Source organism: Homo sapiens, chromosome 10 (assembly GCF_000001405.40).
Source record: "Homo sapiens chromosome 10, GRCh38.p14 Primary Assembly".
In the NCBI taxonomy this organism is placed as follows: Eukaryota; Metazoa; Chordata; class Mammalia; order Primates; family Hominidae; genus Homo; species Homo sapiens.
Genome location: NC_000010.11, coordinates 92,177,209 through 92,204,830, shown reverse-complemented (window position 1 = coordinate 92,204,830; position 27,622 = coordinate 92,177,209). Strand labels below are relative to the sequence as shown.

The 27,622-nt window shown below is 39.1% G+C and overlaps 1 protein-coding gene across 25 annotated transcripts in view; it reads left to right on the top strand.

The window, feature by feature from the left end:
* CPEB3 (cytoplasmic polyadenylation element binding protein 3) overlaps nt 1-27,622 on the top strand; it is a 244,542-nt gene that overhangs the window by 86,403 nt on the left and 130,517 nt on the right. For 17 of the 25 annotated variants that reach the window (XM_047424810.1, XM_024447895.2, XM_011539519.3 and 14 more), the window contains 2 exons: nt 12,195-12,354; nt 23,812-23,868. In XM_047424810.1, the coding sequence (XP_047280766.1) occupies nt 12,195-12,354; nt 23,812-23,868 (217 nt within the window). The remainder of the gene's footprint in view (nt 1-12,194; nt 12,355-23,811; nt 23,869-27,622) is intronic. The other 8 variants (XM_011539520.3, XM_005269630.5, XM_011539515.3 and 5 more) reach the window with 2 other exon arrangements.

The following is a 27,622-nucleotide window of genomic DNA, read 5'->3' as shown; positions in this document are numbered from 1 at the left end:
AAGATAGTTTTGGCTTTTGAATACAATATTCTATTATGTTTATTTTGGTTATTTAATCCAATTTTATTATTTGTCTCATTTTAATTTAAGTCTCTTTTTATCTGGAATTAGAGTTGTACAATAAACTTGAGATTCAAGGGGTTTTTTGTTTTTGTTTTACCATTTTCCTTCCACTAGAAGAGAGGGGTTTGGAAACTAAGATAATGAGCTTCTATTTCTCTGGTCCCAGACCATGAACTTGGAGTGAATTTCTTTGGTACTTACCAGGTTCCCTGTTTTAAAATATACGAACATGTACATTGGTGACCTTTCCAGTGATGGCCAGGGAGTGACAATGAAGAGCTATAGTCTGTAGCTCTTAATCTGTGTGTACACTGGGCAGGGCATCATCTGTTGGTTTCTGAAAGGAGGAGGAGCCCTAGAAAGCTGCTAGCCCAAATTGACACAGCTGTTGTTTTATTGCTTTTATTGCTATAGGATGATTTGCATAAAAGCTGCTGCTTAGTTCCTAAATTCAAGGATCAAGGGGATAACAGGGGGCCACAGCAGAAGCGTTCACGTCGCAGCCCCTGTCAGATTCTGGTGAATCTGCGAATTCTGCTGTATATCTCCTTACCCAACCACCCAAGTCAAACAGCAATTGAAATGAACAGCTTATAGGTATCTTTTACGGCCCAGTGATGCTTCTAGGGAGATGCTGTAGCATGTCATTCTTAAAATGTGCCCTGGTCATAAATGGGGTCAGCTGGGCCTCTGAAGAACACAGTATATCACTGTAAGACAGGAATCCATGGGATTAAAAAAACAACTCATCAGAAGCAGTGGGAGACAGGAGAAGATGCTGTTTGTGGGTAATATGGTTAATAATTGCTTATAGGTTCCTGGAGAAATATTAAAGACATCTTTAGAAATGTAAAAGGTGCATGTTGTGATGATAGATGGCATTAGTTATTTGACTGGCAGTAGGGTTACCTTGGGAGTTTTACTACTGTCTCGTTTAGGTTTAATTCCTGGGTTCCTTCATTGGCTCCTGAATGGAGCAGCTGAAGTCAAGCCGCAGTCAGTGGAGCAGCTGAAGTCAAGACTTTGCCTTCCTTCAGCTCAAAAAATCGAGGACGTGGTGGCTCATGTCTGCAATCCCAGCACTTTGGGAGGCCAAGCACTTTGGGTGAATCACCTGAGTTCAGGAGTTCAAGACCAGCCTGGCCAACATGGTGAAACCTCGTCTGTACTAAAAATACAAAAATTAGCCAGGCATGGTGGCAGGCTCCTGTAATCCCAGCTACACCTCTAAAAAAAAAATATATATATATATATATATACACACACATATATATACACATATACACACATATATATACACATATACATATATACGTATATATATACATATACATATATACGTATATATATACATATACATATATATACGTATATATATACACATACATATATACATATATACATATATATACATATATATATATATATATCATCTCTTATGTCTTGTACCTAAAGTTAGATGATTTACCGGAAGTGTCATAGTTCTGTTAAAGTCTTAGAAATGCCTTTTAAAAATAACAGCTTAAAGGCTGGGCGCGGTGGCTCACGCCTGTAATGTCAGCCCTTTGGGAGGCCGAAGTGGGTAGATCATGAGGTCCGGAGATCAAGACCATTCTGGCTAACACGGTGAAACCCTGTCTCTACTAAAAATACAAAAAATTAGCCGGGCTTTGTGGCACGTGCCTGTAATCCCAGCTACTGGGGAGGCTGAGGCAGGAGAATTGCTTGAACCTGGGAGGCAGAGGTTGCAGTGAGCCAAGATGGCGCCACTGCACTCCAGCCTGGGCGACAGAGCTAGACTCCATCTCAAAAAAAAAAAAGCTTAAAAATAAAAAATTTAAACAAGATAAGAAAAAATAAAAATAATAGATTTATTGAGATATAATTCACATATCATGAAGTTCACTCTTAAAATATACAATGTAGCGGTTTTTAGTATAATGACTAAATTGTGTGTCAGTCATTATGATCTAATTCTAGAACATTTTTATCACCCCAAAAAGAAAAAAAATCAAACTCACTAGCAGTCAATCTGCATTTTGCCCTGATTTCCCAGCCTTAGGCAATGACCAATCTACTTCCTATTTCTATAGATAATATGTCTGTTCTGGACCTTACATATAAATGAAATATCATATGTAATTTTTTGTGATTGTCTTCTTTCTCTTAGTGTTTTAAGGTTCATCCATGTTGTAGCATGTATCAATACTTCATTTAACTTTTAAAATTTTTATATTTTTAATTTTATAATTTATAATTTTTGTGGGTGCATACTAGATATATTTATTTATAGTACTTCATTTATTTTTACTGCTGAATGTTATTGCATTATATGCATGTGCCAAAATTTGTTTATCCATTTACCAGTTGATAGGCATTTGGGTAGTTTCCAGTTTGGGGAAATTATAAATAACATTGTTTTATAAAGTTGTTATAAACATCAGTGTATATGGATCCATAGGTTTTTGTGTGGACATATGTTTTTATTTATCTTGGGTAAATACTTGGGAGTGGAACTGCTGGTTGTGTGCTTAAGTATATGTTTAACTTTATAAGAAACAGCCAAACTGTTTTTCCAAAGTGGCTGTGCCATTTTGCATTCCTACTAGGAATTTATGAGAATTCTGGTTGTTCTGCATCCTAGTCAGCATTTGGAGTTGTCAGGGTGTGTGTTTGTTTTTTTTATCCATTCTAGTAAATGAGTAGTTCTTTCTTAGTTTAAAGTAAAAGTCTTGCAAGATGAATTCATCAAAAGAACAATTTAAATGTGAGGTAAGCATTTACTGAATGTCTGTTGTATGCCAGGCCCTCTGCTCGATAATGGGAATGCAGAGAAATAAGACACATTTCTGCTCCCATGAGACTTACAGTTTATTGAGAGTGACAGGCATGTAAAGAAGTAATTACAATATACTTAGTTCTAATTACCTAGAATCAGTCTGGGATGGGGAAGGAGAGTTGATACCTGGAAGAAGAAAATAATATTAGGAGCTACATGTACTTCTGCATAAAGTTCTAAGATAGGTTTTGATAGCAAAGGTTAAGCTCCCCCTTTATTGTTATACCTAATAAATCAATGCCCAGTAAACTTCTTGAGATAATATTCTGCTGGCTAACAACCCAATGATTTGGGGTGACATCAACTAATCACTTTCAAAAGTCACATATGCACACTAACCAGGGAAAGGGGCAACTTTAATTTTTGTTGGTTTTTGTTTGTTTGTTTGTTTGTTTGTTTCTGAGACAGTGTCTTGTTCTGTTGCCCAGACTGGAGTGCGGTGGCACCACCTTGACTCACTGTAGCGTCTGCCTCCCGGGTTCCAGTGATTCTCCTGCCTCAGCCTCCCAGGTAGCTGGGCTTACAGGCACATGCCACTATGCCCGGCTAATTTTTATATTGTTAGTAGAGACGGGGTTTCACCATGTTGGCCAGGCTGGTCTCGAACTGCTGACCTCAGGTGATCCGCCCGCCTCGGCCTCCCAAAGTGCTAGGATTACAGGTGTGAGCCACCGTGCCCGGCCTAATTTTTGTACTTTTTTGATGCCTTCTCTTCTGACCGTCATAGTCATTGCTTTCCCTTTCTGTATCCTTCCTGGGTTGGCCTCATTTCTGCCTTTTCCCTAGCACACTGCTAAGCTGTATAATCACTCCTTTTTATTTTCAATATTTTCTTTTAGTCAGACACCATTGACTGGAAAAATCACTCCTTTTTAAATTGCATATGTACTTAACTATGAACTGTTTACCACAGTCAGCAATGGCAGCAGGTGGCATTTGTACTTTTTATACAGTTGACCACTGTAGCATTTACCCTGCTGAATCCAGCCTCAAAATGTAGGGTCATGTCAGGTAATTCCGAGAGCCATGTTTCTCTGTGTATGATATACTAAGCCTCTTATCTGACCTGCCTGGCTAAAACCAGAAGAGCTGTGAAGAAACATTAGGAATAGGGAGAACATGAAAAGACTTGGCAAAAATGTGCTTCAAGTTGAGTCATGTTTATCTAATTTTTGAGCATCCTTCAGAGCAGGTGATACTATCCTTGGTTTTTTTTTTAACTTCTCCAGAACCTTAGCTTGGTTTCCTGTTACACAGCAAGTAAAAACACAATCTGATAAAAAGCTTTAAGTAAGTGGAATTAGTCATCCTCAGGAAGAAAAAGATGAGGAATCTATAATTTCTCTGTATGCCCTAATCTTTTTTTTTTTTTTTTTTTTTTTTGAGACGGAGTTTCACTCTTGTCACCCAGGCTGGAGTGCAGTGGTGTGATCTCGGCTCACCTCAACCTCTGCCTCCCGGGTTTAAGCAATTCTCCTGCCTCAGCCTCCCAAGTAGCTGGGATTACAGGCATGCGCCACCACGCCCGGCTAATTTTGTATTTCTTAGTAGAGACAGGGTTTCTCCATGTTGGTCAGGCTGGTCTCGAACTCCCGACCTCAGGTGATCCGCCCACCTCGGCCTCCCAAAGTGCTGGGATTACAGGCGTGAGCCACCGTGCCCGGCCTGTATGCCCTAATCTTATACTGGGCTATTTTGAGGGTTCTTGAGAATTTATTGCATGGAAGACTGTTTAACAACAATTTTAAAGAATATTAAAATTCACAGTAGATGCTGATAATTTTCCCCCAAGGACAGAAAAGGGAGAAAAGTTTCAACTTCATTAGGACTTTAGGTTAGATATAAGGAGCATTTGCTTGCCATTGAGTGACTGAAGGAGAATATAGAATTAGGTTTTCCAGAGGGCTACAAATATAATAGTCTCATTTGGGATGGGTAAAATATACCATTGAATGAAGACAGTGAGTGGAGGCAGGATTGGAGATGTTGGCATTTTAAAATAATTCTCTCTCTCTCTCTCTCTCTCTCTCTCTGTGTGTTTGGAGAAAAATAGGTTCGTATATTATGTAATGAATATCTATTTAAAAACAGATAAGGCATTTTCATTGCTCTTAAACTGTTTATAGTGCAGAAGGGACCTGACATATTTCCCAATAACATATACTGAGTAGAAAATAAGAGCAGTAGGATGGAAATTTAGAAGCAGCTAGTTTTGTGAGTTTGTCCTTTTTTTTTTTTTTTTTTTTTTTGAGATGGAGTCTCTGTCACCCAGGCTGGAGTACGGTGGCGTGATCTCGGTTCACTGCAACCGCCGCCTCCCAGGTTCAAGCGATTCTCCTGCTTCAGCCTCCCGAGTAGTTGGGACTACAGGCGCGTGCCACCACACCCAGCTAATTTTTTAGTATAGACGGGGTTTCACCGTGTTAGCCAGGATGGTCTCGAACTCCTGACCTCTTGATCTACTTGATCCAGCCTGCCAAAGTGCTGGGATTATAGGCATGAGCCACCGCGCCTGGCCTTTTTTTTTTTTTTTTTTTGAGACAGAGTTTCACTTTTGTTGCCCAGGCTGGAGTGCAATGGCATGATCTCGGCTCACCGCAACCTCCACCTCCTGGGTTCAAGAGATTCTCCTGCCTCAGCCTCCTGAGTAGCTGGGATTACAGGCATGCGCCACCATGCCTGACTAATTTTGGATTTTTTGTAGAGATGAGGTTTCTCCATGTTGGTCAGGCTGGTCTCGAACTCCCGACCTCAGGTGATCCGCCTGCCTCAGCCTCCCAAAGTGCTGGGATTACAGGCGTGAGCCACTGCGCCCTGCCAGTTAATCGTTTCTTATGTGTTAGATGCATTTAACTTCGGAATGTTTTATCCATGTATATGTTGCAGTCATGTGATAAATAGAAAACTCTTCCTTAGGAATTCCTCTAAAAAGTTTTTCTGTTTTCAATGACCACATTTATCTTTTCCTAGCTCTTTCAGACATCTACCATCCTTTTGATTTTTGGTCCTGTCTGTGTCCCTTTCTTCCCAACTAAGCCTCCATTGTTCATGGATCACACTGCAGCTAGTTAGTGTAGAAGCATTAGAACATTACTGGTATGGACTTGAGAGTCACAGACCTAGTTTTATGTCCTTATTTCTGATCAGCTCTGTGACTGAGCAGTTACATAAACCTTTGTGAGCCTCAGTTTTCCTCAGTGAAATGGAGATAATACCTACTCTGCAGCGTTGTAGTGAGGAGGGAGATAGAACTTTAAACCATTTAGTCCAGTGCCTAGCACATGGTTAATTTTATCATTTGGTTCCAGAGCTACTTTTATCCCCAGATGCTGTTGGCCCTTTCAGCCTTCCACTTTGTATGTCTAGCAGAGGAAATGTCTAGGTATAAGCTAGAAAGAGTAGCAAGGGGTTCTGGATTCCTCTTCCAAGAAAAGGGCAGGTGAATGGGTTAGGGCTGTTAGAGGCGGACCTGGGATTGTATAGAGGTAGATCAAACTACTTCTTGAGGTTAATTAGTTGTCAGTTGAGCAAAGGTCATTGACCAAGGGCAAGTGAGGGTCAAGTTGCTTGTGTTGCAGGGTGGGGTCAAAGAAACCTGTCTCTGGATTGTGACAGATTAAGTTAAAGGGAGTGTTTGTAAAAAGGATGTAAGGCTAGAGAGAATAGGAGGAAGTCAAGGAAGCAGTACAATGAGAATCCTTAAGAGCACGGTCTGGATTTGACTGGGTTTGAGCCCTGGCTCTGCCACTCACCATCCCCATAACCTTGAGCCAGTTATTTATTCTCTCCAAGACTTAATTTTTATTTTATTTTTATTTTATTTGAGATGGAGTCTCACTGTGTCACCCAGGGTGGAGTGCAATGGCGTGATCTCGGCTCACTGCAGCCTCCGCCTCCTGGGTTCAAGCGATTCTCCTGCTTCAGCCTCCCAAGTAGCTGGGGCTACAGGCATGTGCCACCACACCGGCTAATTTTTGTAGTTTTAGTAGAGATGGTGTTTCACTATGTTGGCCAGGCTGGTCTCGAACTCCCGACGTTGCAATCTGCCCACCTCGGCCTCCCAAAGTGCTGGGATTACAGGAGTGAGCCACTGCGCCCAGCGACTTGTTTAATTTATAAAATGGGACAAAAGCTACCTACTTAATAGGGCTGTGAGATAATGCATATAGCATACTTAGAACAGTGACAGGCACATGTTAAATACTTGAAAAATTTATTACTATTAAATCCAGCTGAGGGAAGAAAGAGAGGACTAATGCAGTGGAGGTGAGCTGTTCTGTGTACAGCTAACTGACAACATCTTCACTGGTTATCTTCAAAGAAAAAGAGTCAATAATGGGCTGCATTATTTATAGATGTTCTAATACTTCTTGGTGTGTTTGCTTGTAAAAACAAATAATGATGCTTTCCTGTTTCTCTGTATTGGGAAACAAAACTTATAAAAAAAGGTCTAACAGGTTAGTTGCCACTTGCAACTTTTGTCATTGAATGATAAATTGTGGCCTGGTTTTCTGTATACATAATTTCTGTTGATGAATTCCACTGTAGATTTTTCTGTTTTTTTCTATCCTTTTTGTTCTGTTTTTGCAGACTTCCTGGTTAATCACTTATTTCAGCAACGTTTACTACTTCTAAAACAAAAAGGATGAATGGTATGCATCAAATATAAGTTGATGAGGCATGGATGGAATTAATTTTAATGAGAACTCTCAGAGGCCTGAAGTTTGTTTAATTAAGCCTGTACAAATTCTATCATGCCATTCACATGTCATATGTTTTCATCTCTTGAGCATTAAGTGAACCCTGTTAGGTTAGTATCTGTGAACTGCTAGGTTTAAAAATTTATTTTTCAGTACTCTTGAGATAGCATCACAGAAATCTTTTTGTGTTCTCCCTAATATTATGGTAGCCACCATGGTACAGATGCCTATATGTTCTGTATTTAGTACTGAAGAAACCATGAAGAGAGAATTATCCCCTACCCTTTTTTTTTTTTTGAGATGGGGTCTCACTCTGTTGCCCAGGCTGTAGTGCAGTGGTGTGATCTAGGCTCACTGCAACCTCCACCTCCCAGGTTCAAGTGATTCTCCTGCCTCAGCCTCTGAAGTAGCTGGGATTACAGGCACCTGCCACAATGCCTGGCTAATTTTTTTTTTTTTTTTGAGACGGAGTCTTGCTCTGTCGCCCAGGCTGAGTGCAGTGCCATGAGCTCGGCTCACTGCAACCTCCGCCTCCCCAGTTCAAGCGATTCTCCTGCCTCAGCCTCCCGAGTAGTTGGGACTACAGGCGCGTGTCACCATGCCTGGCTGATTTTTTGTATTTTTAGTAGAGACGGGGTTTCACTATGTTAGCCAGGATGGTCTCGATCTCCTGACCTCGTGATCCACCCGCCTTGACCTCCTGAAGTGTTGGGATTACAGGCGTGAGCCACTGCACCTGGAAAATTATCCCATTTTATAGATGAAGATAACCAAGGCTTAGAAGCATGTTCAAAGTGACATGCCAGTAAGTGGGAGAGCCAAAATTTGAAAATTGGATTTTGATTTTAAAATCTGTGCTTTTAAAAACTAGGCCACCAACTGTTTCTCTAATACTCAGTAAATCAGAAGACTGCAAAACTGACCCTCTGCAAGGTAGCCAGGCTTGTTTATTGCCTGCTGCTCACACTAGTCCCTGCCCTCACTTTACTGTCTAATTTTACTGAACAGAATCATGGGTGTAAAGGCTTAACTTGAATCATCCAATTTAGTGGCTCTAGCCAGTTACAGAATTTATTTTGTTTTAAATTATGATTAAGTAGGTTTGAGCTGGAACCCAGGAATCTATGTTTTAATCGGCTCTACATGTGATTTTTGACAGTCTGACAGGTTTGGGAACCATTTCAATTTAGTTACATGAATCCCTCCTCCCAAAATCCTGTTTTATTTTCCTGACAGGTAGTCATCTAATGTCAGATATCCATTTGTGATAGGAACTGACTGTTACATTAAAACATTGTAATGTGCAGTTAGTTACAGTGCTGTTTTTCTATAGAAGTAACCATGGATTTAAATAATTTCTTTGGCCAGATTTTTATACTCCTTAGGTTTTGGCATTGAGGGCTCTTGAATCTTCTCTGAACCTTGCCTTCTTCATGTGTAAAATGGGTATATTGTTATCTACCTTGAGGGATTATCAATAATTAAATGAAAAAATAAACTGTCCTGTCTGGAAAGATTCTTGAATGCCTTCAAATAGCGTTTTCTTATAGTTCCCTTACCATGTCAGTCTATTCTGAAACACTCTCATGTCTTCAGAGTTCTAGTTAGAAGTGTGGATGTGATAGAGGGCTCCTAGATAATTCATTTTGGGATTGTTAGTGCCAGAAATAGGTTATCATTTTGCCTCCTCATCAGCATACTTCTTTACCTCTGGCTTTTTCTTTGGACAAAGTATATGATAGACACCTCTTATGGGTACAGATAAGCCTGCATTTCTGGAAATTCAGCTTTACTCCTTAGAGTTTCCACTAATAACTTGAACCAAAACAAAACAAATGATCTGCAGGAAGACTTTAAAAGAAAAAACCTTCTTAGATTGTATAGAGACCAAAGTAGACAACCAAAGAAAATATTCCATGTCTCTTTCCTATCCAAGGGGAGAGATAGGTAATGGGTGAGTGTTGTCCATAGAAGAGGATAAATGATCAAGTGCAAGGCTGGAAAAGACTGCTCAAGACCCTGAAAATAATCTCTCATCACTGTAGTTTGACTTGGTTTGGTTGTTGAGTTGTATGCTTATCTTGCTTTTCTTAACCAAAGCAAACTTGATCTGTTCTTTAGTATTAACTTAGTTTTTTTTTTGTACGTGTGTGTGTGTGTGTGTGTGTGTGTGTGTGTGTGTTTTTTGAGACAGTCTCGCTCTGTCGCCCAGGCTGGAGTGCAGTGGCGCGATCTCGGCTCACTGCAAGCTCCACCTCCCAGGTTCACGCCATTCTCCTGCCTTAGCCTCCCTAGTAGTTGGGACTACAGGTGCCCACCACCATGCCTGGCTAATTTTTTGTATATTTTTTAGTAGAGACGGAGTTTCACCATGTTAGCCAGGATGGTCTCGATCTCCTGACCTCGTGATCCGCCCGCCTCAGCCTCCCAAAGTGCTGGGATTACAGGCGTGAGCCACCGTGCCTGGCTCTTTAGTATTAACTTAGAACATGAGCTGTGTTTCCCTTGAGGCTCAGAGTACTAAGAAGAGTTTGTAGGTGATAGTTTCCTGAAGGCTTGAGTGAAATGTGGTGAAATAATACTTTTTTCTTTACTTAGTTTGTGTTAGAGTTCTAGTTTCAAAATGTTTTTGAATCTAACATCTTGAAAATACTCCTTTGGGTTAAGGTTTCTTCGTGTCAGTGCTTTTCAAAAGGTAATTTTCGTACTTTGGACACATTAAAAATTTTTTTTCCTTTTTGCCATTATCTTCATGAATACAACTTAGAACACATTTTTATTTTTAAATTTTGAGATGGAGTCTTGCTATGTCGCCAGGCTGGAGTGCAGTGGCGTGATCTCAGCTCACGGCAACCTCTGCCTCCCGGGTCCAAGCAATTCGCTGCCTCAGCTTCCTGAGTAGCTGGGATTACAGGCACGCACCAGCATGCCCAGCTAATTTTTGTATTTTCGGTAGAGACAGGGTTTCACCTTGTTGGCTAGGATGATCTCAGTCTCCTGACCTCATGATCTGCCTACCTCGGCCTCCCAAAGTACTGGGATTACAGGTGTGAGCCACTGCGCCTGGCCACATTTTTATTTTTAAAAAGTGTATCCAATATATGTAACTTACTGGTCAGAAATGTTAAAGGTAGGCCGGGCGCGGTGTCTCACGCCTGTAATCCCTGTACTTTGGGAGGCCGAGGCCGGTGGATCACGAGGTCAGGAGATCAAGATCATCCTGTCTAACACGGTGAAACCCCATTTCTACTAAAAATACAAAAAATTAGCTGGGCATGGTGGCGGGTGCCTGTAGTCCTAGCTACTCGGAAGGCTGAGGCAGGAGAATGGCGTGAACCCAGGAGGCGGAGCTTGCAGTGAGCCAAGATTGCGCCACTGCACTCCAGCCTGGGCAACAGAGCCAGACTCTGTCTTAAAAAAAAGAAAAAAAAAAAAGAAATGTTAAAGATATCCAATACATTTTCATTGAAATTATAGTCACCCTTTGGTTTTTCAGGAAAATGATTCCGTTTGAGTTCTTAACTGTGGTCTTTATCGTTTGCACTCAGGAATTCCAGACCAGCCTGGGCAACATAGTGAGACCCCATCTCTTAAAAAAAAATTTTTTTTAATTAGCTGGGCATGGTGGCAAGTGTCCTAGCTACTAGGGAGGCTGAGGTGGGAGGATTGCTTGAGCTCAGGAGGTCGGGACTGAAGTGAGCCATGATTGCACCACTGTACTTCAACCTCGGCAACAAAGCAAGACCTTGTCTCAAAAAAAAAAATTGTGGTCTTTCTCTGGGGTGGGGTGGGGGGAACATCTCTGTTCGTTTGACAATAAGGTTATTGGGTGGAGGGTAGAGAGCAAAACCAATTAACTTGACTCGTCCTTTTAAATTTACTATTTTAGTTCCTTTGCGAGAAAGTCACTCTGCAATTACATTGCATTATAGAGTATTAGGGAAAATGATGCAATTTAATTAATTATGGAGACTTGTATTAAACTTAATGTTACCAAGTCATTGTTCTTTTTTTTTTGAGATGGAGTCTTGCTCTGTCATCCAGGCTGGAATGCAGTGGTGTGACCTCAGCTCACTGCAACCTCTGCCTTCCAGGTTCAAGTGATTCTCCTGCCTCAGCCTCCCAAGTAGCTGGGATTACAGGTGCACACCACCATACCTGGCTAATTTTTGTATTTTTAGTAGAGGCGAGGTTCCACCCTGTTGGCCAGGCTGGTCTCAAACTCCTGACTTCAAGTGATCTGCCCACCTTGGCCTCTCAAAGTGCTGGGATTACAGGTGTGACAAGTCATTATTCTTAATGAAAAGAGCAGGATCAGCGCGGTAGCTCACGTCTGTAATCCCAGCACTTTGGTAGGCCAAGGCAAGAGGATTGCTTGAGCCTAGACATTCGAGACCAGCCTGGGAAACATAGCGAGACCCCATCTCTACAAAGTAAATAAATAAATAAACAAATAAAAAGAAGGACTGTATGCTGTTGGGGCTCTCTGTAACTTTCATTCATGTCATCAATCCACAGCAGGAAGCAAATGATATGGTGTTAATTTTATGAAGTAATTTTATGTATTGTCTTGTTTTTGTTTTTATTCTTAGGACCGGAGTAGGCCCTATGATACTTTTAACTTGCACTCGTTGGAGAACTCCTTAATGGATATGATAAGGACTGATCATGAACCTCTGAAAGGTAAACACTACCCTCCCAGTGGCCCACCAATGAGTTTCGCTGATATAATGTGGAGGAATCATTTTGCAGGTTAGGAATATTCATATGTCCATTTCTTGCTTGGTGTTTTAAGCAAAAATCAGCTTTTTAATAATTTTGATTTTTCTGGTTTGTTTTTTGTTTGCTTGTTTTTGTTTTGCTTCTGTAAAGCATTGTGGAATGTATTTAAAGTTGATTTTTTTTAACCTGGGTTCAGCTACCTATAATAATCAAGGTGGATTGTTATCAGTCATGTCTGGCAGGAGCATGAATTGGGTAGCTGAGGTTAGTCACATTATGAGTTAATAGCGTGAGACCAGCAGCCAGGTTTTCTGGGCTTTGTGCATTTGGAATCCTCAGCTGAACCGGGATAATTCATTTAAGTCCATGTATATATACTGCAAGGAGCTGTGAGAGTTAGTAAAGCAGTCTTCAAAAATTGCTTCAGAAAACTGCATATAAAGGACTTCTATTTTATTACAGCATAATCCCCTTCCTAGTATAGGAAGTATCACCACACAGGCTTAGGGGCAGCTAGTGACCCTTTGCAGTCTCTGAGGCCAAATCACAAGAAAAATATCTTAAAGTACATAAATGTTTTGGGTTAAATATAAGGCAGAAAGTCTCAAAGTTAGCAATATTAGGACTTCCTGTTTTTACAGCCTGTGTAAATTCAGGATAGATGTTGGTATTTAATTCATAATTACAGATAGTTCTTTTTATGGGTTATAGGACTTTTTAGATACCTTAAGATATTTAAAAATACTGTAATGCAAATTACCTATGGAAATATCCATTATACTTGGGTTAAGATCTAAATTTCCGAAAACTGTGAAGAGGTAGCCATGGGGATGCCCATCTTGTATGAACCATTATGTCTTTCAAAATTGTGAGAAATTCAATCCCCTCCGGTTCTCTCTAGGCCCATATTATAGTGTGAATGACTGTGAACACCTGATGCTCATTTCCTCAAGCCACACCAGAAATCTCTTTCATCATTTTCTTGTCACACTCATGATTTTCTTCTGCTTTCCTCATTTTCCAGTGAAAAGAAAGTAGTCAATAGGTTATAAAGAAAAGAAGGGGTTTTTGGGGAAAGTGAGTTTATTTTTTTTTTATTTTTTATTTTTTTTATTTTTTATTTTTTTGAGACAGTGGAGTGCAGTGGCACAATCTTGGCTCACTGAAACTTCCTCCTCCTAGGTTCAAATGATTATTCTGCCTCAGCCTTCCAAGTAGCTGGGATTACAGGTGCCCGCCACCTCGCCCTGCTGGTTTTTGTATTTTTAATAGAGATGGGATTTCATCATGTTGGCCAGGCTGTTCTCAGACTCCTGACCTCTAGTGATCTGCCCACCTCGGCCTCCCAAAGTGCTGGGAGTGCCACCGCACCCGGCTGATACTTGCATTTTAAGGAAAATATTAAAAAAAAGTTTTTGACTTTAAAAAGTGGAGAAAATTAGAAGAACAAAAAGGTAACTAAAAAATAAAGATTGTGATGGTGTATTATTCGTCTAATTCTCATATGATAAGCATTATCCATGCTTCTATCAGATCTTTGTAATTTATTGCTAGGCCTTGACTTTAGACTCTTAGGTTGTTTCCAGTTTTTCCTCCATTATTAGGTAATGCTGCCATGGATGAGTTCTTGCACATAGCTTTTCCTTAAGGTAAATTAACAGTGAGAGTCTTTGGGTCAAAAGAGATAAACATTTAGGTGGATTGAGCTTTAAGAGAAGGATGGTAGGCTAGAGGACCTGCCATGTGGCTTCTGTATGAGTCTGTTCGGAAGCACTTCCCTCTACTATCTGGTTTTTCCTCCTCCTTTTTTTTTTTTTTTTTTTTTTTTTTTTTTTTTTTTTGAGATGGAGTTTCGCTCTTGTTGCCCAGGCTGGAGTGCAATGGCGTGATCTTGGCTTACCACAACGTGTGCCTCATGGGTTCAAGCGATTCTCCTGCCTCAGCTTCCTGAGTAGCTGGGTTTACAGGCATGTGCCACTACACCCAGCTAATTTTGTATTTTTAGTAGAGACAGAATTTCTCCATGTTGGTCACGCTGGTCTCAAACTCCTGACCTTAGGTGATCCACCTGCCTCGGCCTCCCAAAGTGCTGAGATTACAGGTGTGAGCCACTGCGCCCAGCCTCCTCCTACTTTCAATATCCTTTACTCCCACTTGAACATGGGGAACACTATTTTGAGGGTCTCAAAACTCAAGTACAGGGTAACTGGATTTTTGTTGGTTTTTTTGAGACAAAGTCTTGCTCTTGTCGCCCAGGCTGGAGTGCAATGGCGTGATGTTGGCTCACTGCAACCTCTGCCTCCCAGATTCAAGTGATTCTCCTGCCTCAGCCTCCTGAGCAGCTGGGATTACAGGCACCTGCCACCACTACCAGCTAATTTTTGTATTTTTAGTAGAGACGGGGTGTCACCATGTTGGCCAGGCTGGTCTCGAACTTCTGACCTCAGGTGATTGCCCGCCTTGGCCTCCTAAAGTGCTGGGATTACAGGCCTGTGCCACCCTGCCTGGCCCCAGAGTAACTGGTTTTTGTATGTTTGTTTGTTTTGGTGTTTTTTTTTCCTAGAGCTTAATTTCCTTTGTTTTTCAGAAAAAAATACATTTTTACTCATTATAAGAAATCCAAATAGTATGTAAAAGGACGAAAAGGAAAGTAAAAAAGAAAAAAAAAAAATCACTGGAGGCAGGGCGTGGTGATTGCTTGAACCAGGGAGTTGGAGGTTGCAGTGACCGAGATTGCGCCACTGTACTGCAGCCTGGCGACAGAGCGAGAGACTCTGTCTCAAAAAAAAAAAAAAAAAAAAAAAAAAATCACTAGAGACTCTCTACCTAGAGGTAACAAAGGTTATTATTTTTATTAACATCCTTCCAGATATTTTATATTCTCCATATAGGAGATGAAATTTCAACTCAGTCTTTCTGACTTTGCAGTCAGTGAAACCTGGGTGTGAATTCTGTCTCTGCCTCTGGCTGCCTATTAATCTGGATAAATTAACCTCTTCAAAGCCTCAGTGTTCTTATTGTTAAAATAAATTCCCTACTTCATAGAGTGAGTGCGAAGATCAAATAAAGTCCCTGGCACTAGAAACTGCTCAAATGTTATCCACAATTTTTTGCTGGAAGTAGTATGGTATCCTTACAGTACTGACTTCTTTCCAACTAGACTTCAGCTAAATGTTGAAATTTTTCAGGTGCAAGTTGTCAAAATTTTATATTTTTCATAAGTAGTGATTATTGAAGGATAAACGTCTTACCATTTTCAAAGCCACTTAAAGGAGAAAGGAAAATAATTTTTTGGTTATTTTGGTTTTCCAATTGTAAATCTGAATGATGTAAAAAATATATAATAAAATAGGATATCTAGTACTTTAAGATGTACTTGAAGAACATGGTAAAAATATGTTCACAATAATATTTTATCTTAGAAATGTATTCAGTAAAAAATCTCTTTATTCAACTATCCTCTTGATTCAGGGGAAAAAAGGATTAGCATGGGAGATAACAGAATAGGAAGTTTAGGAGATAATGAGACTTCTGTTTTAGTAAAGTAAATAAGCTTTAATAGTTTTTTGGTCATGTATTCAGTTTACCAGCCTTGAAGATATTTGTAGGAAATTTTAAAAGTTTCTCTATTTCATCCCCCATGATAAAAATTATATAGAATAAAAGCTGAATTGAACTTTCTTCACAGCACACTGAAAAATATCTTCTATAGCATTAATCAGATCACAGAATGCATATTTAAACAAAAATTTGACTAATTTATTTTTTATTTATTTATTTTTTTTCTGAGACGGAGTCTGGCTCTGTCGCCCAGGCTGGAGTGCAGTGGCGGGATCTCAGCTCATTGCAACCTCCGCCTCCCTGGTTCAAGCAATTCTCCTGCCTCAGCCTCCTGAGTAGCTAGGATTACAGGCATGTACCATCACACCCGGCTAATTTTTGTATTTTTAAATAGAGACGGGTTTCACCATGTTGTCCAGGCTGGTCTCGAACTCCTGACCTTGTCATCTGCCAGGCTTAGCCTCCCAAAGTGCTGGGATTACAGGCATGAGCCACTGCGCCCAGCCGGACTAATTTATTTATTTATTTTTTGCTTTTTAAAGATCCCAAACTACGTGCTTGGCTGTAACGGAATAAGGTAATAATCTCCTGGGTTTTTTTTTTTTTTTTTTTTTTTTTTTTTTTTACTATGTCTTACATATACTTTTCTTTTCGTTTGAGAGAATGCCTCAGAGATGAGAAAGGAGGCTTTTGAAGAGGGTAATACTCTAATGACAGCTGTTTCTTATTTTATTTATTTATTTATTTTTTGAGACAGGTTCTTGCTCTTTCACCCAGGCTGGAGTGCAGTGGCACAATCTTGGCTCACTGCAGCCTTGACCTCCCAGGCTCAAGCAGTCTTCCTGCCTCAGCTCCCTAAGTAGCTGGTACTAGAGGCACAGGCACCATGCCTGGCTGATTTTTTCTATTTGCTGTAGAGACAAGGTTTCACCATGTTGCCCAGGCTGGTCTTGAACTCCTGAGCTCAAGCAATCCTTCCACCTCAGTCTCCCAAAGTGCTAAGATTATAGGCATGAGCCACTGGCCCTGGCCCTGTTTCTTATTTCTTTTTCGAAGTACAGAAATCCTTGGGTTGGCAGATGTAGTAGGAGGGAGCAACTGTTCTCTGTTCTCATTTCTAGTGGATTGAAGGAAAATGCAACTCTCTTCATAACTATGAGGATTAAGGGGATTAATCGTGTTGAGAGAGGTGGGGTAAGAGATAACGAAAAAGATTCATCCCTATTGTCTTCTTTATAGCTGTTCCTTGACTTTCTACCTATGATGCAGGTTCACTAAGCTCCTATGGAACCACTCTGAAAACTCATGGTCGTCAGGTCAGGTTTGATTAATCATATTCTCCCAACTCTAGAAGGATAGTAAGGAAATACCAACTATAGCACATTGAGCAGAGAAGTAAGATCGTATACCCTAACTGGGGAAGCCCAGTATAGCAGGCATCTTGGCAAAAACAGGGAGGAGTTACTTTTTCTTCATCCCATGCAATTTCCCTCTTACAGCAGAAAAATAGTCCTGGCTGACTATCTGGGGTTCGTGCCTAGTAAAACATTTTTATGTATTTGAATTTTCTCTTCCCTCACCATTCATGGAACTGAGATTTGAAAAGTGAAAAGAACAGGTGTCAGTTGAGAACTGTTATTGAAAGCTTTGCTTTTCGAAAGTATGCTGAGAGTGTCTAGAGAAAAATAGCTTATCTTTCAGTAATAGTGCTTTAAAACAGATAATGCCACCCCTTTGGTGTTAAAATGGAAGAGATAATGCCACCCCTTTGGTGTTATAGAGGCATTTTTCTTTATTCATCACAATTTAAATTTAGTATTGTAGAGCCTTTCACAAAATTTGTCCCCTCTTACGGAATTTTGAGGTCTTCTTATTTTAGAAAAATATGCCTTCATTACATTTTATTTGCTTGTTTGTTCCAGAAAAATATACTGTCTCTTTATTTACTTCTGTGGCTTGAATTATTGCTCAGTTCTATTTTTGTGTTATTTCCCTTGATAGCCCATATCTGTTTATCTTGTTTGAAAGTTAGCAGATTACACAAACTGTTAGGGGGCAGGTTCTAAGTCAGCAAGAAGTGATGGTTCTTGTTTTGTACATTCTTGGGGGCAGAGACAGTAAGTAGAAACTGAGTGATTTGTATAAGTACCCTCCCATTAATTTGCGTAATCATCCTTTAAGCATAGCATTTAAATTACCTGAGTTTTTAGCGGCCAGGCATGGTGGCTCACGCCTATAATCCCAGCACTTTGGGAGGCTGAGGCGGGCAGATCGCTTGAGGTCAGGACTTCAAGACCAGCCTGGCCTACATGGTGAAACCCTGCCTCTACTAAAAATACGAAAATTAGCCAGGTGTGGTGGCAGGCGCCTGTAGTCCCAGCTACTCAGGAGGCTGAGGCAGGAGAATCGCTTGAACCCACGAGGTGGAGCTTGCTTTGAGCCAAGATTGTGCCACTGCACTCCAGCCTGGGTGACAGAGCGAGACTCCATCTAAAAAAAAAAAAAAAAATCACCTGAGTTTTAAAAGATAAAGATGATGATGATTATTATTATTTTGAGACAGGGTCTCGCTGTGTAACCCAGGCTGGAATGCAGTGGTGCGATCTCAGCTCACTGCAGTCGTCACCTCCCGGGCTCAAGCTCTCCTCCCACCTCAGCCTCGTGAGTAGCTGGAACTGTAGGTGCATGCCACCATACCCACCTAATTTTTTTTTTTTTTTGTATTTTTTTTTTTTTTGTGGAGACAGGGTTTCGCCATGTTGCTCAGGCTGGTCTCTAACTCCTGAGCTCAAGCGATCTGCCCACCTCTGCCTCCCAAAGTGCCTGGATTACAGGTGTGAACCAGTGCACACCAGGCTGGGAATTGTGATTTAATTGTTCTCGAGTACAGTCTTTATTAAATGAGGAAACAGAGGCACAAAATATTTAACAACTTGCCAAAAATTACCCGCTATTAGTATGTGAATAAACTAGGATTTGACCTCAGGTCTAAGCTCACAGGTTTTGATTATTGGTTATTTGGAACATATTTAGAATATTTTAGTATCAAAGTTTTATCATTTCCTTAAAACAGATTTAAAAAACAGTTTACTATATTTTTACATATCACAGTATTACATTTTTAAGATACTTTTCTAAAGCAATGTCTCTCTAACTTTATAGAGAAAGTTAGTGGGAAATAAAACCCAGTAGAATATGCATTTTACCTGGTAAGTCTTTCTGAAACGTGGCACTAACATTCTGTTACATGAAGCTTTCTGATGTACTTGCCTTTTTCGAGCAAAGGGAGTGATTAGAGGAAGGTACAGCAGTTGTTCCCTATCTCATAACATATTGTAGAAGTAAAGAGATGACTTTCGTAATCAATTATGAATTAATGAAAATTTCAGTTTTTATTTTGAACTCATAAAAGCATGAGTTTAGTTGGATTCTGAAACTTTGAATCATGATAGACATAGTTTTTTTTTTATAACTAGTGTTTTAAATATGAATGTGAATTGAGCTTATGGGACTGTGATTTTAACAGAACGAATAACCATATGTAACCCTATTCTCTAACCTCTCCCTTCATCCCCTCTCACCCCTATTTATCAGATCCTGTGCAGTGGGGAAAGTGGGACACAGTCTCAGATTTCCACAGCATCATTTAACTTAGTAAAACCAAGTATGCCTTCCAGTTTTTGAAATCTTACATTTTACACTATACTTAAAAGATAGCTAGCTGACAAGAACAATTTAAAAATAGCAGACCATGGACAGGTGACGAAATGTCACGCTGGCAACACCAGACTACATTATACAAAAATCATCAGATGTCACGCACTTGATTCTATTTTCACAGCTGATTAAACAGCAGTATTTGTTGGACAAAAGGAAGAAAAAAGAAATGGCCTCTTCTGAATTTGGAATCAGTTTTTCTTTTGCTGTTATATATTTTATTTTCCTCCAAAATTCCTTAATAACTGTAAAACTTAAGATATACAATGTATTAAGTTAAAAAATTATGAAATAATTTCAATTTTAGAAAAGAAACCTTTACACATATACACTCCCTAACGTGGAAAACTGTAAATCAAAATGTTAACAGTGCTTATCCTTGGTGAGCTTGTTTTCTCCATTTTTTTGCATTATGTGATTTTTCTCCAATGAAAATATATTGCATTTTATAATCTAAAAATTACTTTTGGAAGAGGTAAAGAAACCAGCTTAAAGATGCTGTGAATGATTTTACTTTAAAAAATTACATTATTAGTTGGGGGAAAAATTAGATTATATTTAGATAATTGATTCTGATGGATGTGGCCTTCTCGACCCAGAGTGTCTTTTCTTTTCTTTTCTTTTTGAGACAGAGTCTTGCTCTATCTCCAGGCTGGGGTGCTGTGACACGATCTCGGCTCACTGCAACCTCCACCTCCCAGGTTTAAGCGATTCTCCTGCCTTAGCCTCCCGAGTAGCGGGGACTACAGGTGCATGCCACCACACCCAGCTAATTTTTTTGTATTTTTAGTAGAGATGGGGTTTCACCACGTTGGCCAGGATGGTCTTTATCTCTTGACCTCTTGATCCGACTGCCTCGGCCTCCCAAAGTGTTGGGATTACAGGCGTGAGCCACGGTGCCCAGCCTGGAGTTTCTTATAAAATCTTTTGTTGCTCACTTTCATCCAGAGACCTGCTGAAGTCAAAGAGGTCAAAGAATTAGAGAGAATACCAAGAAAGGTAAAAAGTGTTCTGCTTTTCACCAATTAGTGATACTTTCAATCTGCAAAACACTGCCTAAGGCTCTTGTTTTACTGCATCATAAGGAAGTTTAGGTTGGAAGTAATCAGCGTACGATAGAGAATAATAATTTGAAAACTACCAAGCTTCCTTTCAGTTTCATCTTTCCAAGCTGAAAAGTTCTAGGAGCTTATGGAAAGGGTCAAAAAGGATCCATGTAGGTATGTTTAACTTCTGGAGGACAAAAAGGGTACCCCTTTACATTTGGGAAACTAAGTAGTTATAGGAACATGTAAAAACTTTATTTGATATAGTGGTTGTAAACTACATAATTCTTTACCGTAAATGGTAGACACAGGAAAGAAAAGAAGTCAAATAAGGATCAGCTAAATTTGGGTTTGCATGATTTCCTTGATAACCCTTTATTATTATTCTAGAAATATTTAGGGAATATTGCTAACTTTTTAGATAGCACACCCTCCTCTAAATATTCCTTGGTTAAAGTTTGAAAAGATCCTCCATATATGCGATTTCCTTAAGTTCTGATGGGCAGTGATTTTGAAGTCTTGATGGGCTTTTAGGTAGACTTTCCAGTGACTGGCTAATCATTGTTATATTTGAATACCCCAGAAAAGGATGAAAGCTGGTTTAGAGTAAATCACATATAGTTTTCATAGATATTAATATTTTTTGATAATGAATCCAAATAAGGTCTTGATTATCCAAAAACGATGGTGAGAACATTGAGATAGCTAGTTGAAATGAGAATATACTTTCTCCCTACTGAGTGAAAGCCTTGTTCTGGTGACAGTTTTTCCTATTATAGGTTCTGATCAAGGTGGTGGTAGGAGATAACACTTGTTGCCAACTATAATTTTCAGGGACTCTAAAATGACTTAGGAACTGAAAAAACGTAAGGCACGTAGAACAATTATATATAGATACAGTACATGTATCTTTTAACAATGGGGTAGTTTTTGAAATTCCTAATAATTAGCTTCTAGTAAATATGAAAACGTTTATGAAATCTATAAAAAATAGATGGTTCTTTTAGATTTTACTCATATGGCTTTTTAATAGAAAACATGATCTAATCTAAGAAAATAATTTTACTATATTACAAATGCTAGCAAAATTGTCTCTGCAAAACCAGAGAGAGATGAAACATTTTTTTCCTAATAAGGTTTGAAACGATAAAAACTAAAAATTTTCATTGAAAGCTCTATAATGCTTCATGATAAAGTTAGAACAGTTTTATCAGAATCCATCAAATTCTAGTGGATTTTCTTATTTATGGATGTATTTAAGATTTTCTCATTCAATACATACATACACACCAATATAAGTGATGCTTCACTTGCGAGGGTTTTGTTTTTCCCTGCCTCTTTTTTTTTTTTTTTTTTTGAGACGGAGTCTTGCTCTGTCGCCCTGGCTGGAGTACAGTGGCGCAATCTCGGCTCACTGCAACCTCCACATTCCGAGTTCAAGTGATTCTCCTGCCTCAGCCTCCCAAGTAGCTGGGATTATGGGCATCCACCACCACACCCAGCTAATTTTTGTATTTTTAGTAGAGATGGGGTTTCACCATGTTGGCCAGGCTGGTCTCTAACTCATGACCTCAGATGATCTGCCCTCCTCGGCTTCCCAAAGTGCTGGGATTATAGGCATGAACCACTGCGCCCGGCCTTCCCTACCTCTTAATATGAAATGACCTTTTACAAATTATCGTAGCCTGGGGAGCAATAAGAAATCAGGATGGTCCTGTCTAGGCAAAAACTTCATTTGCTTAGGAATTCATGATTCTCCCTTTTTATTTAAGGCAAATGCCCTGCTTTGTCTACTGTGATGCTTTCCTTTTGGGCAAAAAGAACTTAATAATGCTATTTGCCTCCAGTCCCCTGTAACGGAGTTTACCATCAAATGATCACTGACTCTTTTGCAATTATGTAATATAAAACTGTGTATGTTGTAAAAATCAATCATTTTAACCTTATCTCCAGCTTTTTCTGTATACTTTCTCCGCAAAATACTGTTGACATTTATTTAAACAATGGTAGTGAAATAAGATTAACATTTTTTGAGAATTTCATGATAACCCTTGACATAATTGAACATTAAAACCTTGCAGAGCCAAGTTTATAGATATTAGCTTTACACAAAAGCATTGTTTCAATAACTATTTTGTTGAAGGAATTTGGTCAAGAAAGCTTTCTAAGTACATTTTTTTTTTTTCATATAAGACTCTCTCAAATTTTCCTTTTGGTACATCTACCTCCTTGTCCCAAATAATTAATGAAGAAAACATAACAAAAATGTCTGCATCTTCCATTCTTGCCCCTAGGGGCCATTAGTTGAAGCATCTGTTTCTGACTTAACATCTTATAGACCAGGGGTTGGCAAACTTTGTGAAGTGCTAAAGAGTAAATATTTTAGGCTTTACGGGCCACATGGTCTCTGTCACATATTGTTCTTTGTTTTATTTTTGGTTTGGTTGTGTTTACAAGCCTTTCTAAATGTAAAAATGATGCTTAACTCAGAGGCATACAAAAACAGGAAGCCAGCTGTGTCAGCAGACGTTTGCAACTCCTGTTATAGACTTAAGGATGAACATGTGGAGATTAGCATTATATTCAAGGTCATATCACTAGTTAGTGTTAGGGAGAGCCACCAGAACCCTAGATTTTTAGGCCAATCATTTTCCCCCATTCTGTCTCTTTTATGAATTTTACCGTCTTCCTTCTGGTTGCCATTCTGATTATTATATTGCATTTTTGAGCCACTATGAAACCTCTCTTTTTATTCTCTCTAAGCTTCAAATTTATATACTTGTTTGAATCTATTTTTTTTTTTTTTTTTTTTTTTGCTGCTTGAATGGAAGGACAGTATAAATGGTTGTTTAAATAAAATGTTTAATCCAAGGAGTTGGCATGTTTAAATTGGAATGCAGGAGATGTGTTAAATTTCAGACTATTATAACAGAAGCTTCTTTTTTTGTTTTTTTTTATTTATTTGTTGTTGAAACTTTGGCTTTAAGACTTTTCATGTGTATGTTTTATGACTTAATTTTTAAAACTGTTGTAACTGCTTTGGCCTTTGATAGCATTGTTATAGATTAATCTGTTTTAGATTTTTGTAATGTTTATATTTTAAGATGTGTTTGAAATGATTACATTAAACATTCTTTTTGCTTAAAATTATTTTATTTTTTAGGACGCATGGGGATAAATTTCCATCATCCAGGAACAGATAATATTATGGCACTTAACAGTAAGTCTTCATATGAAATATTCTATTAAATTAGCAGTCAAGTTTGCAGCATGTAGTTTCTACATTCTTGATTGTTGGTTACATTTTAACCTTCCGCTGAAAGGAGTATAGACCATTGTTCTGTACTAGTGGTTCTCAAAGTGTGGTCCCTGGACCAGCAGCATCAGCATTGCTTGGGAGCTTATTAAAATCTCAGGCCCCATGACAGGGCTATTGAATCAGACACTTAAGGATGAGGCCCGGAGGTCTGTATTTTAACAAGCCTGTATGTGATTGTGATTCAGGCTAAAGTTTGAAAATTGCTGCTTCAAACCAGGGTTGGCAAACTATAGCTCTGCAAGCTGGATCTGTTTTTGTAAATGAAGTTTTATTGGAATATAGCCACACCCATTCATTTATGGATTGTCTGTGGCTACTTTTGTGCTACAAAGGCAGAGCCACAAAGGCCAAACTATTTACCATCTGACCCTTTACAGAAAATGTTTGCCAACTCCTGCTGTATACCATTGGGTTGGAGGAATGAAGGAGGTAGGTGAAGGGAGAGAGGAAGTGGGGTAGAGAATATAATGTGAATGAATAAATCAACTTATTTATACATAACTCAGAATTTTTTCATGGTGGTAGATAGCCAGGTATTTCAAGCTGGACATCCAGGGGTCTCCCATTAATGGAATTTGCATGGTATATATGTCAGCAGCTTTATAGGTTTGAAACAGTTTTGTCAGTATAATTGTTTGATCAAGTTCTAAAGCAGCAAAAACTTACTAACTGGAAAGTCATTATATTAATTAACACCAGAAGAAATAATCTGGGTGGCATCAGCTCTCCTTCCTAGTGTCAATGGATCAGATACCTTTGCAGAAGAACAGTCTCTAAATGGAAATTGTTCATTTTCAGAAGGACCTGTATAAGCCATTGAATCTTTTAGACTTTAAGTTTTCTCCTCTAGTAAATGAGTGATATCAGATTGTCCCCTCTCATCTTCCCAGATATACAAGCTGACTCTCAATACACATGGGAGACATACTGGATAAATCTAGGGTTGTGTACAATATTATTTCTTTCCCTCTTGCTTGAGTAGGTATGTTGAATGTCATTGGAGTTCTTTAGAACAGATTTTAGGTTATCTCTAAAATATATATTTCACATCTCCTTGGTCTGACATGCAACCAATGAGTACTGCTGAGAACCACTGGCAGTGCTTGATGATGCAGGTCCTAAGCCTCTCCATGCATATTTTTTTCTAGATTGCTAGTATCCCTGCCTTTTGGCAGGGTTAGGGAGATGGTCTTAGAGACAATAAGAATTCCAAAGTATCTACCTCTAATTTTCTAACTTCTAAATGAAAGGTCACTTTAAATTTAGATTATGCTGCCTCTAACTTTTTTTCTAGTCGATGGGAATTAATAAACATGCTTAACTTGCTGAACTTGAGCAATAATTAATTGTGAAAAGACTTCAGTTAGATTATGGGATTTAAAGTTGAATGTAAAAGAAAAGAACAGTATGGTAGTGTGTCTGCCTGAAGGAATGAGTGTGTATCTCAGAAAAGACCTAATTGACATGATGTGAATCCTCTTCTGCAAGAGGGAGAGGATATAGTTTGTGATTTTTTGTGGGAAAAAAATGGAGCTAAAAGACATTTTTCTTTTTAAAAACTTTTTATTCTCTTTGGTTTGATTTTCTTTAATTCTCTGCTTTTAAATCCAAGATTTCATTTATGCTCTTTCCATTTTGTTCATGTTGTGTAATCCCCTGTTTAGCTTCAATTTCTCCAATCCTTGAGAGAAGGGGGGTGATTAGGTAATCTTAATGATTGTTTTCAGCATGAAGATACTGTTATTCTGTAATTTTTTTAAAGTACCAAAACGGCCATTTTGCTGATACCTATAACAAATGTTGATGAGTTACACATAGTTGCAACAGATATCAGAGTGCATCAATCTTTGAATGTCTCTGTGGTTGCTGCCCAAAGTCAAAGAACCTTGTTGTCTCCTTAAAATAAACCATACGAACAACCAGAGTTTGATGTTTACATTACCTACCATCAGTTTTCTTTCAAAGTTGACTCCAGCTTGAGATGATCAGAACAAAAATATCCTCCATAGTAGGTACTTGTGGGACCTGCCAGCTTCGACAAATTTGCTGGGATAAACCTTGTTTTCCTTTTTGTACAGTTGATCCCAGCCCATCTGGTGACTTACATATGTAGCATATGCACAAACACACACCTATCTATTATTTTTGTCTTCTTTTTTAAAATATGTATGTATTTTTTATATTTTATAGAGATAAAGTGTTGCTATGTTGCCCAGGCTGGTCTTGAACTCCTTGCTGCAAGCAATCCTCCCACCTCGACTTCCCAAAGTGCTGGGATTAAAGGTGTGAGCCACCACACCTGGTCTTTCTTTTTATGCCTACCATTTGTTGCCCTAACACTTTTTGTCCGTGACTGGTCTATCCTTCTTCCTTTCTGTCAACCTTCATGTAGGAATAATTGAGATCGCTGGGCGTGGTGCCTCACATCTGTAATCTTAGCACTTTGAGAGGCCGAGGTGGGCAGATCACTTGAGGTCAGGAGCTCAAGACCAGCCTGGCCAACGTGGAGAAACCCCGTCTCTACTAAAAATACAAAAATTAGCTGGGTGTGGTGGCGCATGCCTGTGATCCCAGATGCTCAGGAGGCTGAGGCAGGAGAATCGCCTGAACCCAGGAGGCAGAGGTTGCAGTGAGCCGAGATCACGCCACTGCACTCCAGCCCGGGTGACAGAGTGAGACTCCATCTAAAAAAAAAAAAAAAAGGAATAATTGAGAAGAAGTAACAAATCCTGAAACATTGTTAATTCAGAATTGTGATTATCGAAGGGACTAGGTTGAAGTTGAGCTGTATTTTCGGAAAAGAAGGGATTGGCTAAGAAAATTATAGCAAATTGAGACAGTTTAAATTTTTTTAAAAAAGAAAATGCGAGTCAGTTGTAGTTCTTTCTTTCTTACCCTTTTTTGCTATGTGAAATTTGTGCTTCCTAGGTCTCTATGGAAAGCTGCCAATCATTATGTTTCCCAAAAAATCTTCCATCCTTTTTTTACTTTCTTGACCTCACCAAAACCTGTCTCCTAAAGATATGGCCTCAGTTCTCCTGACTTTATGGGAAAGATAGATGTCATAATATACATTCTTCTCAGTACTACTTTCCAGCTTTGAATTGGCCAAGTTCCCATTTTTTGGTGTTCCTAGTGCATGCCCTCCAGTTATACCTTCCTCCAAGAATCACCACTGCTGACATAATCTAGAAGACAGAAAATGAAGCTTAGAAGACAAAGATAGGATACCACTATGGAAGACAAATAAGAGTTACCAGTAAACCTTCAGACATTTAGGGTGTGGAAAAATTGGCGAGGTTTGTGTAAACCAAAGAGTCTACTGATTTTTCCTGTTCAAGACCATGAATCTATTAATAGTAAGAATTGGCAGGCCAGCCTTTATGGAGGAACCCAAGAGGCACATTCCAAATTTTGGCCTTTCTCAAAATATTAGGTCCTCAAGTATTACAGAATATAGAAGGGGAGGTAGGGGGAAGAAACTCCAATCCATCAGTAAGACCTGCCACTTGTCCAATATTTCCAAAATAAAGTTAGTTCTGAGGCAATATACCCCTTCTACTTAATCAGGTAATATATTTTTTCCTAACTGTTTAATAATTCTGCCCATTTTATTTTAATCTTCCTTACTTTTAAACAAAAACACTCGACGTTT